This window comes from Homo sapiens, chromosome 1, assembly GCF_000001405.40.
Source record: "Homo sapiens chromosome 1, GRCh38.p14 Primary Assembly".
In the NCBI taxonomy this organism is placed as follows: Eukaryota; Metazoa; Chordata; class Mammalia; order Primates; family Hominidae; genus Homo; species Homo sapiens.
In genome coordinates, this window is record NC_000001.11 from 40,420,379 (window position 1) to 40,435,500 (window position 15,122).

Here is a 15,122-nt window from a genome sequence, read left to right on the forward strand (position 1 = left end):
AATTTGAACATCAAAAAGAGTAACAACAGTAATGGATTATGACACACTGAATGGAAAAAACAAAACAAAACCATGAGTCCACGGTGATATTTTTTAAAAACCAGGTGTGGAATGGAGGGAGGAAAAGCCTTCTTTACAGAAGAATGACAGTAGTTGTAAAAAGAGCAAAGGATTGACACATTTGCAAAGAAATGCCCTTCAGATTATTTATTAATTATAATGAAAGAAATATAGTCACTACCTCAGCCAAGTGATCAAACATAAAATTACTGACAGAGGAACAAAGTAATGTCATATGCTTCCTGATATTTTGTACTAAGAAAGACATGTGTCACCTCCATAGAATCTTGCCAAAAATATTGAACCTCGATCCAATTATGAGAAAACATGAGATGAATCCAAATTGAGGGGTATGCTACAAAATAACTGTCCTGGGTTCTTAAAAATGTCAGTGTCAGGAAGAAATGGAAGGAAGTGTTAGGGAAACTGGTCTAGCTTAAAGGAGACTACAGAGATCTGAAAATGAAATGCCATGTACATTAGAATATGGTGTTAATGTTAAAATTCTTGAGCGTGTTCATTGTTTTGTGGTTCTGTTAAAGTGTTCATTCTTATGAGGTGCCTCCTGACTTAGGAATGAAATGTCGTGATAGCTGCAGCTTTTTTTTTTTTTTAATCTGCAACTTTTGATACTCATCAAAAAAATGTAAGTTTTTTTATAGGGAGGGAGAGAAAATATGGCAAATGTTAACAGTTGGTGAATTTAAGGAAGAAGATACATGGGTTTTATTGTACTATTGTTTCAACTTTTATGTCAGTTTGAAATTTACTTTAAAAGTTGGTACAAGAAAATAATAGTTTCTCCTAAAGAAAAATAACTTATATAGAAAATTTACTAGGCTTAGGAAATTCAAGGCATTTTTCTCCATAAAGTATTTTTCTGTTCACTGCTAGGGGCCAGTCTTTCCATCAGATTCATGAAGGACCCCCGCCCCATCCTGCCCCAGGCCTTATTCCACTGACTGTTTTCTCCCAGCTCCTTCCCTTCTTATACACTGAAGACACATTAGTCTTCCCCCGCCCCCGCCCCGCCACCGCCTTTGTTCATTCTGAACAGTCCAGTTCCTTTTTTTCCCCCTTGTGCAAACGAGCAAGCCTGCTCAAGCGCTTTCCCTGACACTGACAGTAATAGCTGTGCTGAAGATGAGGCGGGAGCACTGGGGAGGGGGCTTTCCTTTCAGCTTTTAGGATTGGCCAGGCAAGTTAACAATAGGCCCCTTCTATTTAGGATGAGGGACTGGAAAGGAAAAAGAGAGGAACTCATGCTGATTTTCTGTCGACTAGATCCAGATGCCAGGATGCCTTCTTTCCCTCCCTGAGCTTTAGTCTCCGTCAGCATTGCACTCCCAAAAGGTCATTCACGTACGTGGCCTTGAAATGATCTGACTGCTAAGGTCCAGGGTTTACTGTCCATAACAGAGTTTCCCTTTGTCTCATTCTCCCCATCCTGGCAGAGAAAGGGACTCTCACCCTGCCTTTTGCACTAATTGGCGGAATGCCCACAGCCTGGTCTGAAAGTCTCCTCTCTCCCTTTCAGATGACCCAGCAGATGGCTGGGATGAACTTCTATGGAGCCAATGGCATGATGAACTATGGACAGTCAATGAGTGGCGGAAATGGACAGGCAGCAAATCAGACTCTCAGTCCTCAGATGTGGAAATAAAAACAAAACACCTGTATGGCTGCCATTCTCTTCAGCCCTCGCTCTCCCCTTTCCACAGCCTCCACCCCTGACCCCCATCCTCTTTTCCTACCTCTCTGTTTGGTTTAGAAATTGCTCAATAAGTCATTTGGGGTTTGGCATCCTGCCCAGCCACTTCCCAAACATGAAGACCTCTCTGTTGCTTTATGTTGTACATGCCCCATAGCCATCCCAACGTCCTCCCCAGTCCTCTCCTGGCACCAGCACCTTAGAAGTTGTTGGCAGAAGGCACTTAAACTGTGGGAGAAGTGTGCACACCTTTGAGTCCCTTCCCTCAAGGTTAAAGCTCCTGTCAGACTCTCAGAAGGGTCTGTGGGTGTTGTATATTAGGCAAACAGGGGAAAGCTTAGAGGTCCTTCTATATGTGTTAATAAGCTGTTTCTAAGTGTTTAAATTTGAAAAGCATCATGTTCTCATGATTTATGGGAATGAAGCAAGTACTGAAATCAAATTAAATACTCCCTGGGTCCTGGGTCAGTTTGACCCTAGCCCTGGGGTGAGGCAAGCCCCCTCCTATGAGGATGAGCAAAAATACTACTCTCTTCGCCCTGAGTTGCTTTCTGGATCTGGGGCTTCAGGACTTGCTGCTTCAGTCAGCCTTTATTAGCACCAAAGACTTTATGAAGATCCCACACACAGACACACATCCCTTCCCGCCTCCCCCCTGCCTTCAGTAGGATCTGGCTCCGTGGCTGGAGGACCAACCCCTATAGTGGGAATGCAGAGCTTAACGTGTACTGCTTGTGTGTGTGCGTGAGTGTGTGTGTGTGTATGAGTGTGTGTTCCGCCTCCCACCCTCTCCCCATCTGCTCTGGGTATTTTTGTTTTTGTTTAGTTTTAGGTTTACAACAGAGAGGAATTAATTTATCAGCAGCCTAAAACTGTTGTGTTTTTCTTATGGTTTAAAAAACGCCATGTCATTGATAACTCCCTTTCTCCCTTCCCTTCTCCCGGTCTGCTGATCACTCTTTCATGCCTGTGTATCCAGGGTGCTCTGTTTCCCCACCGTTCCCAGGTGTACGAGGCAGAGGGCCGGGACAGCTTTCCTCTCAGTCATTGTTCACCCCACTTGAAAATTCAGACAAGAAAACTTTGCTTAAAAGATTTCATGTGTGGGAACCACAGTTCCTGGCTGCCTTTCTCCTGTGTATGTGTAAATTCCTTAATAAATATTGCAGGGAAGGACTGTTTGCTTGGCCATTACTGTGCGTCACTCTTGGAGGAGGGTGCGTTACACTTAGGTTTTCTGTTTTCCAAAGGCAATTGTTTCACTTCCTGTATTTTAGAAAATTCTGTACTTCTCATACCCAAGGGTGAGGCCCAGGCTCCAGCAGTCAGAAAGGGGGCCTCTCTCCACTGGCATCTAGAGCTGTGAGCTGAGAGAACTCCAGAGATCAGCACCTTCTAGAGTCACAGAGCATCAGAGCGGCATGCTTTCCCCCCACAGGTGGAGAAACTGAGACACGGAGAAAGGACATGGTTGGCAAATGTCCACTAGAGAACCCTGGGCAGAACCGGCAGTAGCCTCCAAGTGTCTGGATTTCCAGCCCCTTGTTCTTTCCCTATACCATGGCAATTAAGTAGTGAGTTGAAATTCCTCTCTGCCAAGAGAGCAGTAGCTTTGGCTGGTAAAGGTAACTCACCCCTCTCTGAGCTATCAGAACTGGACCTTCCGTATCAGTGTCAGGAATTAGGACACTCAATCCTGGGGGCAGTACGAAATACAAAAGGCCGAAGACCATCTTTAGTGCATTTCCTGCTCCCTTTGACTCCTTTTCTGCTCTCAACAAATGTGATCCTTGGACCCTTCCTCCCTTCTTTCCTTTGAGTACACCCTTTGAGTCCTTAAAGATGTAAGTGGGAGGACAGCACAGTGACTAGGAAAGTTGGCTCTGGGTCAGGCTGCCAGTGTTCCTATCCCTTCCTACGCTGGGACCTGAGCAAATTACTGAACTCCTGTGTCCAGGTAAAATGGGGACAATGGTAATACTTAGGATAGTAAGAAGCAGTTCCTGTGGTATATTTAGCACACTACTGGGCACTTACTAAGCACTCAGATATTAGCAGGTATTACGTGCCAGATCTGTGTTAGGCAGTAGCTCATTTGACAAACATTTAATAAGTGTCAGTAATGTGCCAAAGAATGTTTTAGGCTCTAGAGACAAAGCAGTGAATAAAAACTGTCCAATCTCATAGGATAGTGTGGTAGGAGAAATGCATAATAAACAAATAGATTTAATTCAGACAGTATAAGACAAGGGGAGAGAGTGGGCACGGGGCCATTTGGATGGAGTGGTCAGGAGAAGGTTACATTTGGACTGAGACCTAAATAAGCAGCCAGTCCGTAGAGATCTGGAAAGAGTTGGAAATAGTTTGGGGGCATCAGTTTGGGAATCATGAGGGTACGGGTGTTATGTAAAGCTATGAGACCGGTTGAAGTCACTTGAGAAAATAGAAGAGAACTGAGTCTTGGAACCCATCAGCATTTAGAGTTTGGGAAGGATAAATAGATGAATCTGAGATAGTTTCTGCTTTTAAGAAGCTCATGGTCTCATGGGGCAGCAAATTTATAATTTCTTTTTTTCGTTTTGTTTTTGAGACAGGGTCTCGCTCTGTCGCCCAAGCTGGAGTGCAGTGGTGTGATCATGGCTCACTGCAGCCTTGACCTCCTGGGCTTAAGCTATCCTCCAACTTCAGCCTCCCCAAGTAGCTGGGGCCAAAGGCGTGCACCACCACACTGGGCTAATTTTTTTTGGAGAGACAGGGTCTCCCTATGTTGCCTAAGCTGGTCTCAAGCTCCTGGGCTCAAGTGATCCTCCCACATCGTCCCCCCATAGTGCTGGGATTACAGGCATGAGCCACTGTGTCCGGCCTGTAATTTCCTATGCAGGTGGATTATGGGAGCTGAGGTGAGGGGGGACTTAGCCCAGTCAGGAAAACTTCCTGAAGAGAGTGGCACTTGAGCTGAGCCTTAAAGGGAGAAGTAACAGTTAACCAGTGAATTGGTGTGGAGAAGAATATTCCAGACAAATAGTGTTATGTGAATAAAGATACAGAAACCTACAAGAGCATGGAACATTTTGGGAGGCACAAACGTATGTCTAGGGTATGATGGGAGTGTGGTGTGCTGTGGGAGAGGTGGAGCTGGACCAGGTCAGGGGCCTTTCCACACCCTATGAAGGAGTTTAGCCTGAAGTATGAGTGGTGGAGAGACTTGGTAGGTTTGCGTTTTAGGTAGCTCACTCTTGCATCACTGTGAACAGCACGTTTGAGGAAGCAAGACCAGAGCTAGGGAACCAGAGATGGGAAGAGCTGACCTAGGGCCGTGGTGGCAGGGGTAGGGGAGAATGGAGGGGCTTAGAATAGCAGTTAGTGATTGATCATGAGGCATGTGAGATGCTAAAAGGTGTTCCACAGAAATGCTAAACTAAGCATGGAAAAGACTGTTATATCACCTCATATCTAGAATATAATATCTACATAGTAATCTCTTTGAAAAGTCCTGTAGTAGACTTTTTTCATAGTTTTCTAGCACTTACCAACACTTATTTTACCACGGAGTCAATTTTTCTGGTATATCTAATAACCATAGAATACTATTTGTGGGAAAAGCAACCAGAAGAATACTTTAGGACAGGAGTGTCCTATCTTTTGGCTTCCCTGGGCCACATTGGAAGAAGAACTGTCTTGGGCCACACATAAAATACTGATAAAATGTGATATCTGATGAGCTAAAAAAAAAAAATCGTAATTTTTTTGTTGTTTGTTTTGTTTGCCTGTTTTGTAGAGATGGAGTCTCACTCTGTCACCCAGGCTGGCTCTTGGCTCACTGCAACCTCTGCCTCCTGGGTTCAAGCAATTCTGCCTCAGCCTCCCGAGTAGCTGAGACTACAGGTGCATGCCGCCACACCCAGCTAATTTCTTTTGTATTTTAGTAGAGACGGGGTTTCACCGTGTTGCCCAGGCTGATCTTGAACTCCTGAGCTCAGGTAATCCGCCCACTTCAGCCTCCCAAGGTGCTAGGATTACAGGTGTGAGCCACCACCCCTGGCCCTCATAATGTTTTACGAATTTGTGTTGGTCCTCATTCAAAGCCATCCTGGGCCGAATGCGGACTGTGGGCCGAGGGCTAGACAAGGTGCTTTAGGAGGTAGAGTTGGGAGGTGTCAGTATTGGACAAGATGTGGGATGGAGAGAGAGGAAGCAGTCAAATCTCCCATGTTTCTAGATTATGTCAAAGAATTTACAGAAGGAAGAGAAGCTGGCTTTTCTCTCTAGGAGGGAAGAAGTAGATAATTAGGAGTTTGGTTTTAGGCTTGTTGAAATTGGATTGCCTGTGTTATATCCAGGTCTGGTTGACCAGCTGGAAATTGGATTTAAGAGTCTGAAGTTCAAGGAAGAGGTCAGGCTGGAGAAATTAATTTGTGAGTTAGCCCATGGGGTGGTAATTGATACCATAGGAGATGGATAGGAATCACATAGGGTGGGTTTGTAAAATAACAGCAGTGGGCTGGGACAATTTGTGGGGAAATATTTATTTTTAATAGAAGCTAAGGAGGAAAGGCCCAAGAAGGAGAGGAGATGGAACGGGGATGAGGAGGAATAGTCAGAAAGTTATGCAAAACAAAACAAAACTCTAGGAAAGTACAATGTCAAGGAACCCTAGGAACTATAATATCTAGAAAAAGGGATGATCGCAAACATCAAATCAGCAGGAAAATCTAGTGAGATAAGGATTGGTAAAAGGACTACTGAATTTAGCATTTGGAAACTGTAAACTTCAGTTGGAGTGGTAGCGCCAGAAACCAGATTATAGCGAGTTGAAGGGTGAATTGAAGCAGTTGTAAAGTAGAGAAACAGGCTCTGTAAAATTAAATATACCTGGTAAGATTTAAGGGTTACCCTTAAGAATAGAAATAGAGCCGGGCGCGGTGGCTCACTCCTGTAATCCCAGCACTTTGGGAGGCCGAGGCGGGCAGATCATGAGGTCAGGAGATCGAGAAGATCCTGGCTAACACGGTGAAACACGTCTCTACTAAGAATACAAAAAATTAGCCGGGCACCTGCAGTTCTAGCTATTCGGGAGGCTGAGGCAGGAGAATGGCGTGAACCCAGGAGGCGGAGCTTGCAGTGAGCCGAGATCACACCACTGCACTCCAGCCTGGGAGACAGCGAGACTCCGTCTCAAAAAATAAATAAATAAATAAAAATTAAAAAAAAAAAAGAATAGAAATAGAGTATGTAAATTCCAAATCAATAAAGAGGAAAAAATTAGAATAAGAAAATGCAAATAAGCAAAAATATCAACCATCCTCCTATCCCCCAAGAAAAAGGCAGGGTTAAGAATTTATTTGTTTTAAAAAAAAAAAAGCTCAGAAAAGTGGACCAAACTTAACTGAAAAGTCATATGATTGAAACAAGTCTAAATACAAAAAATACAATGTAGATGGAATAAATAGAGTTGGATTACTGACATTGTCAGATTGCCGTGTGTGGTGGTCACGCCTGTAATCCCAGCATTTTGGGAGACCGAGGCGGGTGGATCATGAAGTCAGAGGTTTGAGATCATCCTGGCCAAGATGGTGAAACCCCGTCTCTACTAAAAATACAAAAATTAGCCAGGTGTGGTGGCAGGTACCTGTAGTCCCAGCTACTCGGGAGGCTGAGACAGGAGAATTGCTGGAACCCGGGAGACGGAGGTTGCAGTGAGCCAAGATCACGCCATTGCACTCCAGCCTGGGCAACAAGAGCGAAACTACTTCATAAATAAATAAATAAATGTAAACACATAAAAAAGGTCGGGTCTGTAATCCCAGCACTTTGGGAGGCCGAGGCAGGCAGATCACAAGGTCAAGAGATTGAGAACATCCTGGCTATGTCCAACATGGTGAAACCCCATCTCTACAAAAATTATGAAAATTAGCTGGGCGCGATGGTGCGCTCCTGTAGTCCCAGCTACTCAGGATGCTGAGGCAGGAGAATCGCTTGAACCTGGGAGGCGGAGGTTGCAGTGAGCTGATATCACCCCACTGCACTCCGGCCTGGTGAAAAAAAGAAGGCTGGGCACGGTGGCTCAAACCTGTAATCCCAGCACTTTGGGAGGCAGAGGCAGGCAGATCATGAGGTCGAGAGATCCAGACCATGCTGGCCAACATGGTGAAACCCTGTTGGGTTTCCAAGATTGTCATGGCTAGTCTAGGTCCTTTGTATTTCCATACACATTTTGGAATCGGCTTTTCTTTTTACTTTTTTTTTTTTTTTGAGACACAAAAATTTTTTTGAGACTCTGTCTCATAAAAAAACACAAAAATTAGCTGGACGGGGTGGCGTGTGCCTGTAGTCCCAGTTACTCGGGAGGCTGAGGCAGGAGAATCACTTGAACCTGGGAAGCAGAGGTTGCAGTGAGCCAAGATCTCGCCACTGCACTCCAGCCTGGGTGACAGAGTGAGACTCTGTCTCCAAATAAAATACAATAATAAAATAAAATGAAACAAAATCCATTCCTAGCAGGGTGCAGTGGTTCACATCTGTAATCCCAGCACTTTGGGGGGGCTGAGGCAGGCCGATCACTTGAGTCTTAGGAGTTTGAGACCAGCCTGGGCATCGTGGCGAAAACTGTTCTCTACAGAAAATTAGCTGAGTGTGGTAGCATGTGCCTGTGGTCCCAGCTCCTTGGGAGGCTAAGGTGGGAGGATTGCTTGAGCCCAGAGGTCGAGGCTGCAGTGAGCCAAGATCTCCCCACTGCATTCCGACCTGAGTGACAGAGTGAGACCCTATCTCAAATAAAATAAAATAAAATAGAATAGAATAAAATCCATTCCTTCTGGCATCTCAGACTTTTCTTTAAGATCACTTTCCTTCACCTGAAGTATATCCTTTGGAAGTTTCTTTAGTGAAGGTCTCTTTGAGTCATTCCTGAAGTACTAAAAATACAAGAATAGGAAATGTTTAAAATATAAGAATGGAACAAGGAAGATCAGGCAAATGCTAACCAAAAGTAAATGGGGATCCTTTATATCATTTATATTTATATTTTCAAAATAGACTTTCAGACAAAAAGCATTACAGGTTGAGCATCTTAGCCTGAAAATGCAAAATCCGAAATGCTCAAAATATCAGCACTGACACGACACCACAAGTGAAAAATACCACAACTGACCTCATGTGATGGGGTCACAATCAAAACTTTGTTTCATGCACAAAATTATTTAAAACATTGTATAAAATTACCTTCAGTCTATTAGTATAGGGTGTATATGAAATAAATGAATTTTATATTTAGACTTGGGTCCTGTTCCCAAGATATCTCATTATGTTTATATAAATATTCCTAAATGTGAAAAAATCCAAAATCTGAAACACTCTGGTTCCAAGCATTTTGGATAAGGGGTACTCACCCTGTAATAGAAAGAGGACAGAACTATATGTTATAATAAAAGGTTCATTTCACAAGGAAAATATTACCATTCTAAACCAGTATACATTCTTAAAGCCTCAAAGTACAAATTTATAGAACTTCATGGAAAAAGAATCCATCATCAGTGTGTGAAAATTCTCCACCAATTTGTGTGTGTGTGTGTGTGTGTGTGTGTATGTTCGTGTGTGTGTGTGTGTGTATGTTCGTATGTGTGTGTGGAAATTGAAAAGCTGATTCCTTGCTGGGTGCAGTGGCTCACATCTGTAATCCCAGCACTTTGGGAGGCCAAGGCAGGCAGATCACGAGGTCAGGAGTTCGAGACCAGTCTGGCCAACATACTGAAACCCTGTCTCTACCAAAAATACAAAAAATTAGCCGGGTGTGGTGGTGTGTGCATGTAATCCCAGCTACTCAGGCGCCTGAGGCAGGAGAATTGCGTGAACCCGGGAGGCGGAGGTTGCAGTGAGCTGAGATAGTGCCACTGCACTCCAGCCTGGGCAACAGAACAAGACTCTGTCTCAAAAAAAAAAAAAAAAAAGAAAAAAAGCTGATTACAAAACGTATATGGAAATACAAAGGACCCAGACTAGCCATGACAATCTTGGAAAAAGAAAGAAAAAATTTGGGCCAGGCATGGTGGCTCACACCTGTAATCCCAGCACTTTGGGAGGCTGAGGCGGGTGGTTCACCTGAGGTCAGGAGTTCAAGACCAGGCTGACCAACATGGAGAAACCCCATCTCTACTAAAAATACAAAATTAGCTGGGCGTGGTGGCACATGCCTGTAATCCCAGCTACTCGGGAGGCTGAGGCAGGAGAATGGCTTGAACCTGGGAGATGGAGGTTGTGGTGAGCCAAGATGTTGCCATTGCACTCCAGCCTGGGCAACAAGAGTGAAACTCCATCTCAAAATAAATAAATAAATAAATAAATAAATAAATTTGAAGGGATTACACTACCAGATTTTAAGATTTCTTATGCAACTACAGTAATTAAGACAGTGTGGAATCAGTGCAGGATAGACATATAAACCGCTGGAATAGAACACAGGAGCTGGAAACAGCCCCAGGCACATATTGATTTATGAAGGTGGCAATGCAATGCAGTGGATTAAGGGTAGTCTTTTAAAGAACGGACACTGGGACGTTAGAGAAAAAGTGAAAGTTGACCCCTACCTCATACCATAACAGTAAATGAATTCTAGGCCGGGCACAGTGGCTCACGCCTGTAATCGCAGCACTCTGGGAGTCCAAGGAAGGTGGATCACTTGAAGCCAGGAATTAGAGACCAGCCTGGCCAACATGGTGAAACCATGTCTCTACTAAAAATACAAAAATTAGCCAGGCGTGGTAGCACGTGCCTGTTATCCTGGCTACTCAGGAAGCTGAGGCAAAAGGATCGTTTGTACCCAGGAAGCAGAGGTTGCAGTGAGCTGAGATCATGCCACTGCACTCCAGCCTGGGCAAGACAGCGAGACTCCATCTCAATAAATCAATAAAATACATAAATAAATAAATTCTACATAGATTGAAGATCTAGTGTGAAACTTAAAAAAATTAAGCTCCTAAAAGATAATAGTAGAGAATATCTTCATGTCCATGTGGAGAAGCCTTAGGAGTTAAAAAGCACTAATCATAAAGGAAAGATTGATAAAGTTGATTAGATTAAAATTAAGAACTATTTATGATTCCATTAAGAGAGCAGAAAGGCTTGCCACAGAGTAAGATAAGATATTTGAAATGCATATGATAAAGGCATTGTATCCAGAATATATGAAGAATGCCAGCAAAATAAGAAAAAGACATATTAGAAAAATATGCAACGGAGACCAGAATAAGCACTTCAAGCAGACTAACTATGAAGACTAACTTTGAAGAATGACTAACATTGAAGAAATGCTGAATCTCATTAGTAGTTGGGGAAATTAAAACAAAACAAAACAAAACAAAACAAAACAGGAGACATCATGAAATACCTACCAGAATGGCTAAAATAAAAGATCATTCTAAGTGTTGACAAGAATGTGGAGCAACAGAAACTAGTAGGAGTGTAAATTGACATGACTACTTGGAGAATGGTTTAATAGTATCATTTGCTAGATAGACAAACCTATGACCCAACAATTCTACTCATAGGTATATACCAAATGGAAATATATGTACTTGAGCATTAAAAGATATGCACAAGAATGTTCTGGAAGCATTCATAATAGCTCCAAACTGGAAACAATCCAAATGCCCATCAGCAGGAAAATGCATAGATTATAGTATATTCCTACAATAGAATACTACACAGCAATGGGAATGATCAAACTACAGTTTGCCAGGCGCGGTGGCTAAACATAGGACATTAAATCCAAAATCTGTGGTAGGTGCATTCATATCAGTAAATACCACCAGACCTTAAATGACATCTTTCCCTTCTTGATTGAACACTCAATATTTTCCTAAGAATTCCTCATGTTTTTTTCGATGACTGTGTAAGTCTCCTCCTCTGTGTGCTTCCTCTTTGCTTCCTAGTGTGATATGTTATACCCAAAATAAACTGAGACATTCTTAACAAAAATATTTAACCTCAACCTAATCAAGTTTCTAGATGTAACTTCCAGCTTCTAGGAAGATTAAAAAACATTTTTTTTTTTTTTTTGAGACAGAGTCTTGCTCTGTGGCCCAGGCTGGAAGTGCAGTGGGGCAATCTCAGTTCTTACAACCTCTGCCTCCCGGGTTCAAGCAATTCTCCTGCCTCAGCCTCCTGAGTAGCTGGTACTACAGGCTTCCGCCACCACGCCTGGCTAATTTTTGTATTTTTAGTAGAGACCAGGTTTCACCATGTTGGCCAGGCTGGTCTCAAACTCCTGACCTCAAGCAATCCACCCACCTCAGCCTTCCAAAGTGCTGGGATTACAGGCATGAGCCACCGCACCCAGCCTGCACCCTTAAATTTTATATCACCTAAAATCTGTCCATTTTCAATTTTGCCATTTATCCCAAGAAAGTCTTTTGATGCTTTTCTTTTTAAACCAAGATACAGTCTAGCTTTATGCATTGCATTTGGTTATTATGTCTATTTGGTTTCCTTTAGTTTGGAACAGTGCCTCTCACTTTTTTTTTTTTTCTCGTGAGAATGACTTTTTGAAGGGCTCAAGCCAATTAGTTGGTAGACAGTTCTATGTTTTTAATCTTCCTAGAAGCTGGAAGTTAGGTCTAGAAACTTGATTAGGTTGAAGTTAAATATTTTTCTCAAGAATGTATCAGTTTATTTTGGGTACATCATATCACACTAGGAAGCAAACAGGAAGCACACAGAGGAGGAGACTTATGCAGTCATCAGAAAAAACATGAGGAATTCTTATGAAAATACTGAGTGTTCAATCGAGAAGAGAAAGGTGTCATTTAAGGTCTGGCTGTATTTATTGATACGAATGCACCTACCACAGATTTTGGATTTCATGTCCTATGTTTAGCAGCTGGGCATGTTTTTCATAGGGAAAGCTGAACATAATATTGGCCTATCTATTCTAAAAGCTGAGATGACAGAAATGCCTTTGTGTAATGTGGAGAAAGGAATTTAAGAAGAATTCTGGAACAAATTACCAAATATGTTATCCCTTTTCCCAACCCATCCCTGCCTGGCAGGATCCTGAAGACATTCCCTTTACCAAAGTCTTGAAGCATACTTTATTCACAAGAGTACTGGGAGCATTACAACATGACTTAGTAGTTCATAAAATGTTGGTGAAGTGTATTTCCTTGTCTCTTTTTTTTTGAGACAGAGTCTCACTCTGTCTCAGTCTGTCACCCAGACTGAAGTGCAGTAACTCACTGCACCCTCAAACTCCTGAGGCTTAAGGGATCCTCCTGCCTCAGTCTCCCAAGTAGCTGGGACTACAGGTGTGGGACTACATGCCCATGCCCACGTATTTCCTATTTTCAGTGTAATTGTAATGATTCCAGCAGTAGCCTTTAACGATGACCCCCCATGCAATTTATGGTATTCAAAATGGATACCAAGATCTTTGCAGGTGGTTAATTGGAGATAGGGTCCTAGATAAATGGCAGATCACTGAAGCCCTACTTGATCTGTATAGCCAAAAATTTCTCCAGGTTTGGAGGCAGATATCAAGACAGAAATGCAGCTCTGGATTCTCTTGCTAGACTTAAGCTAGTTTACAGATTCAGAGCCTATTCAATAATGGAGAGGCCATGTATCCTGAGGAAGGAGCTTGTAAAAGTGCTGCCAGTACAGAATGTGTATCATTACCATTTTATGGATAAATGTGTATTACCATTTTGTCTGGATAACTGTACACTAGGGAAACTACACAAACACTTGGGCAACAAGTGGATACTAGCTGTTAGTTATTACTAATTCCCAGATACCCACAATGTCATTGTCCACTTCTCAGAGTTCATATGGGGACCAGGTAATGATGGAGTTTTGTTTTGTTTTATCCGTCTGTTTGTTTGTTTTGAGACGGAGTCTCGCACCATCGCCCAAGCTAGAGTGCAGTGGTGCATTCTTGGCTCACTGCAGTCTCTGCCTCCCAGGTTCAAGTGATTCTCCTGCCTCAACCTCCCCAGTAGCTAGGATTACAAGTGTGCGCCACCACGCCTGGCTAATTTTTGTAGTTTTAGTAGAGACCAGGTTTTGCCATGTTGGTCAGGTTGGTCTCGAACCCCTGACCTTAGGTGACCCACCTGCCTTGGCCTCCCAAAGTGCTGGGATTACAGGTATTAGCCTCTGCACCTGGCCATGATGGAGTTTTTACCTAAGTCAGCCGCACCATTGGTCCAGTGGAAACTTAAACCTCTCCTAACATAGTTCCCCAAGTTCCAGAGCATCAGTTGGAAAAGATGTTCTTAGCACGTGATAGAATCCCCACACTGGCTTGCTCACCTGTGAAGTAAAGCCTGTTAAGAAAGGAACGGATTCATTGAGTCTTCTATAGTTGATAGAAAGAAAAAAAAAAAAAAAAGAAAGCAATGGAGATGAGGAAGCTCCTGGAGCTCTTCCACATCAAAACAATAAATGGATCTGGTACTGTATCTCTAGGGGAATTGCAGGGATTAAAAGACTTCACAGATAGTGGTGATTGCTATCCCATGGCCTTTTAACTTGTCAGTCTAGCTGGTGCAGAAGATGGGTGGGTTTGGGAGAATAACAGTAAATTATCCTTAACTTCATGAAGAGAAGATACCCATTGCCATTGCTGTTACAGAAGTCATTTCCTATTGAATCAAATCAGGATAGTGTGGGACACCTGATATACAGCTATTAACATGACAGTTTGGGTGGGGAACAGTCTATCCTGATAAAAATATCAGAAGCAGTTTGCTTCCACTTGGTAGAAAAGCAGTGTGATTTCCATCCCATCTGGGGAATATGTCAGCTCTTGGATCTATGCCATAATTTAGTCTATGGAGGCTTTGGTTGTCTCACTGTGGTATATGGTATTTTCCATAGATGGCCACATCAATATATGTCCCATCCTTCATACTCATGATGTGACATTGGCATTCTTCCACTGAAACGTGGAGTCTATTTTCTCTCCCCTTGAGCATGAGTGGACCTTTGTAACTGCCTTGGTCAATAGAATGCAGCAACTATGACACTGCATGACTTCTGAGGCTAGGCTATAAAAGGGCAGTATGGCTTCTTCCTGCCTCTCTGGCCCAGGACTCTTGCCTTTTTTTTTTTTTTTCTGAGACAGAGTTCCACTCTTGTCGCCCAGGCTGAAGTGCAATGGCACAATCTCAGCTCACTGCAACCTCTGCTTCCCGGGTTCAAGCCATTCTCCTGCCTCAGCCTCCTAAGTAGCTGGAATTACAGGCGCCTGCCACCACACCCAGCTGATTTTTTTTTTTTTTTTTTTTTTTTTTAGCAGAGATGAGGTTTCACCAGGCTGGTCTCAAACTCCTGACCTCAGGTGATCCACTCACCTCGG

At 43.1% G+C, this 15,122-nt stretch overlaps 1 protein-coding gene across 14 annotated transcripts in view, besides 1 other annotated feature; it reads left to right on the top strand.

Moving 5' to 3' along the window:
• The window catches only part of SMAP2 (small ArfGAP2), a 78,493-nt gene extending 75,545 nt beyond the window's left edge, over positions 1–2,948 (top strand). For 11 of the 14 annotated variants that reach the window (XM_047428009.1, XM_047428011.1, XM_047428017.1 and 8 more), the window contains one exon: positions 1,598–2,948. In XM_047428009.1, the coding sequence (XP_047283965.1) occupies positions 1,598–1,723 (126 nt within the window). In that variant the 3' untranslated portion in view covers positions 1,724–2,948. The remainder of the gene's footprint in view (positions 1–1,597) is intronic. The other 3 variants (NM_022733.3, NM_001198978.2, NM_001198979.2) reach the window with 1 other exon arrangement.
• Positions 14,579–14,873: a silencer, noted in NCBI's record as "tiled region #11139; HepG2 Repressive DNase matched - State 9:DNaseU". NCBI's record gives its function as "represses a minimal TATA promoter and a strong SV40 promoter by Sharpr-MPRA in HepG2 cells {active_cell/tissue: HepG2}" and the evidence as "EXISTENCE:reporter gene assay evidence [ECO:0000049][PMID:27701403]".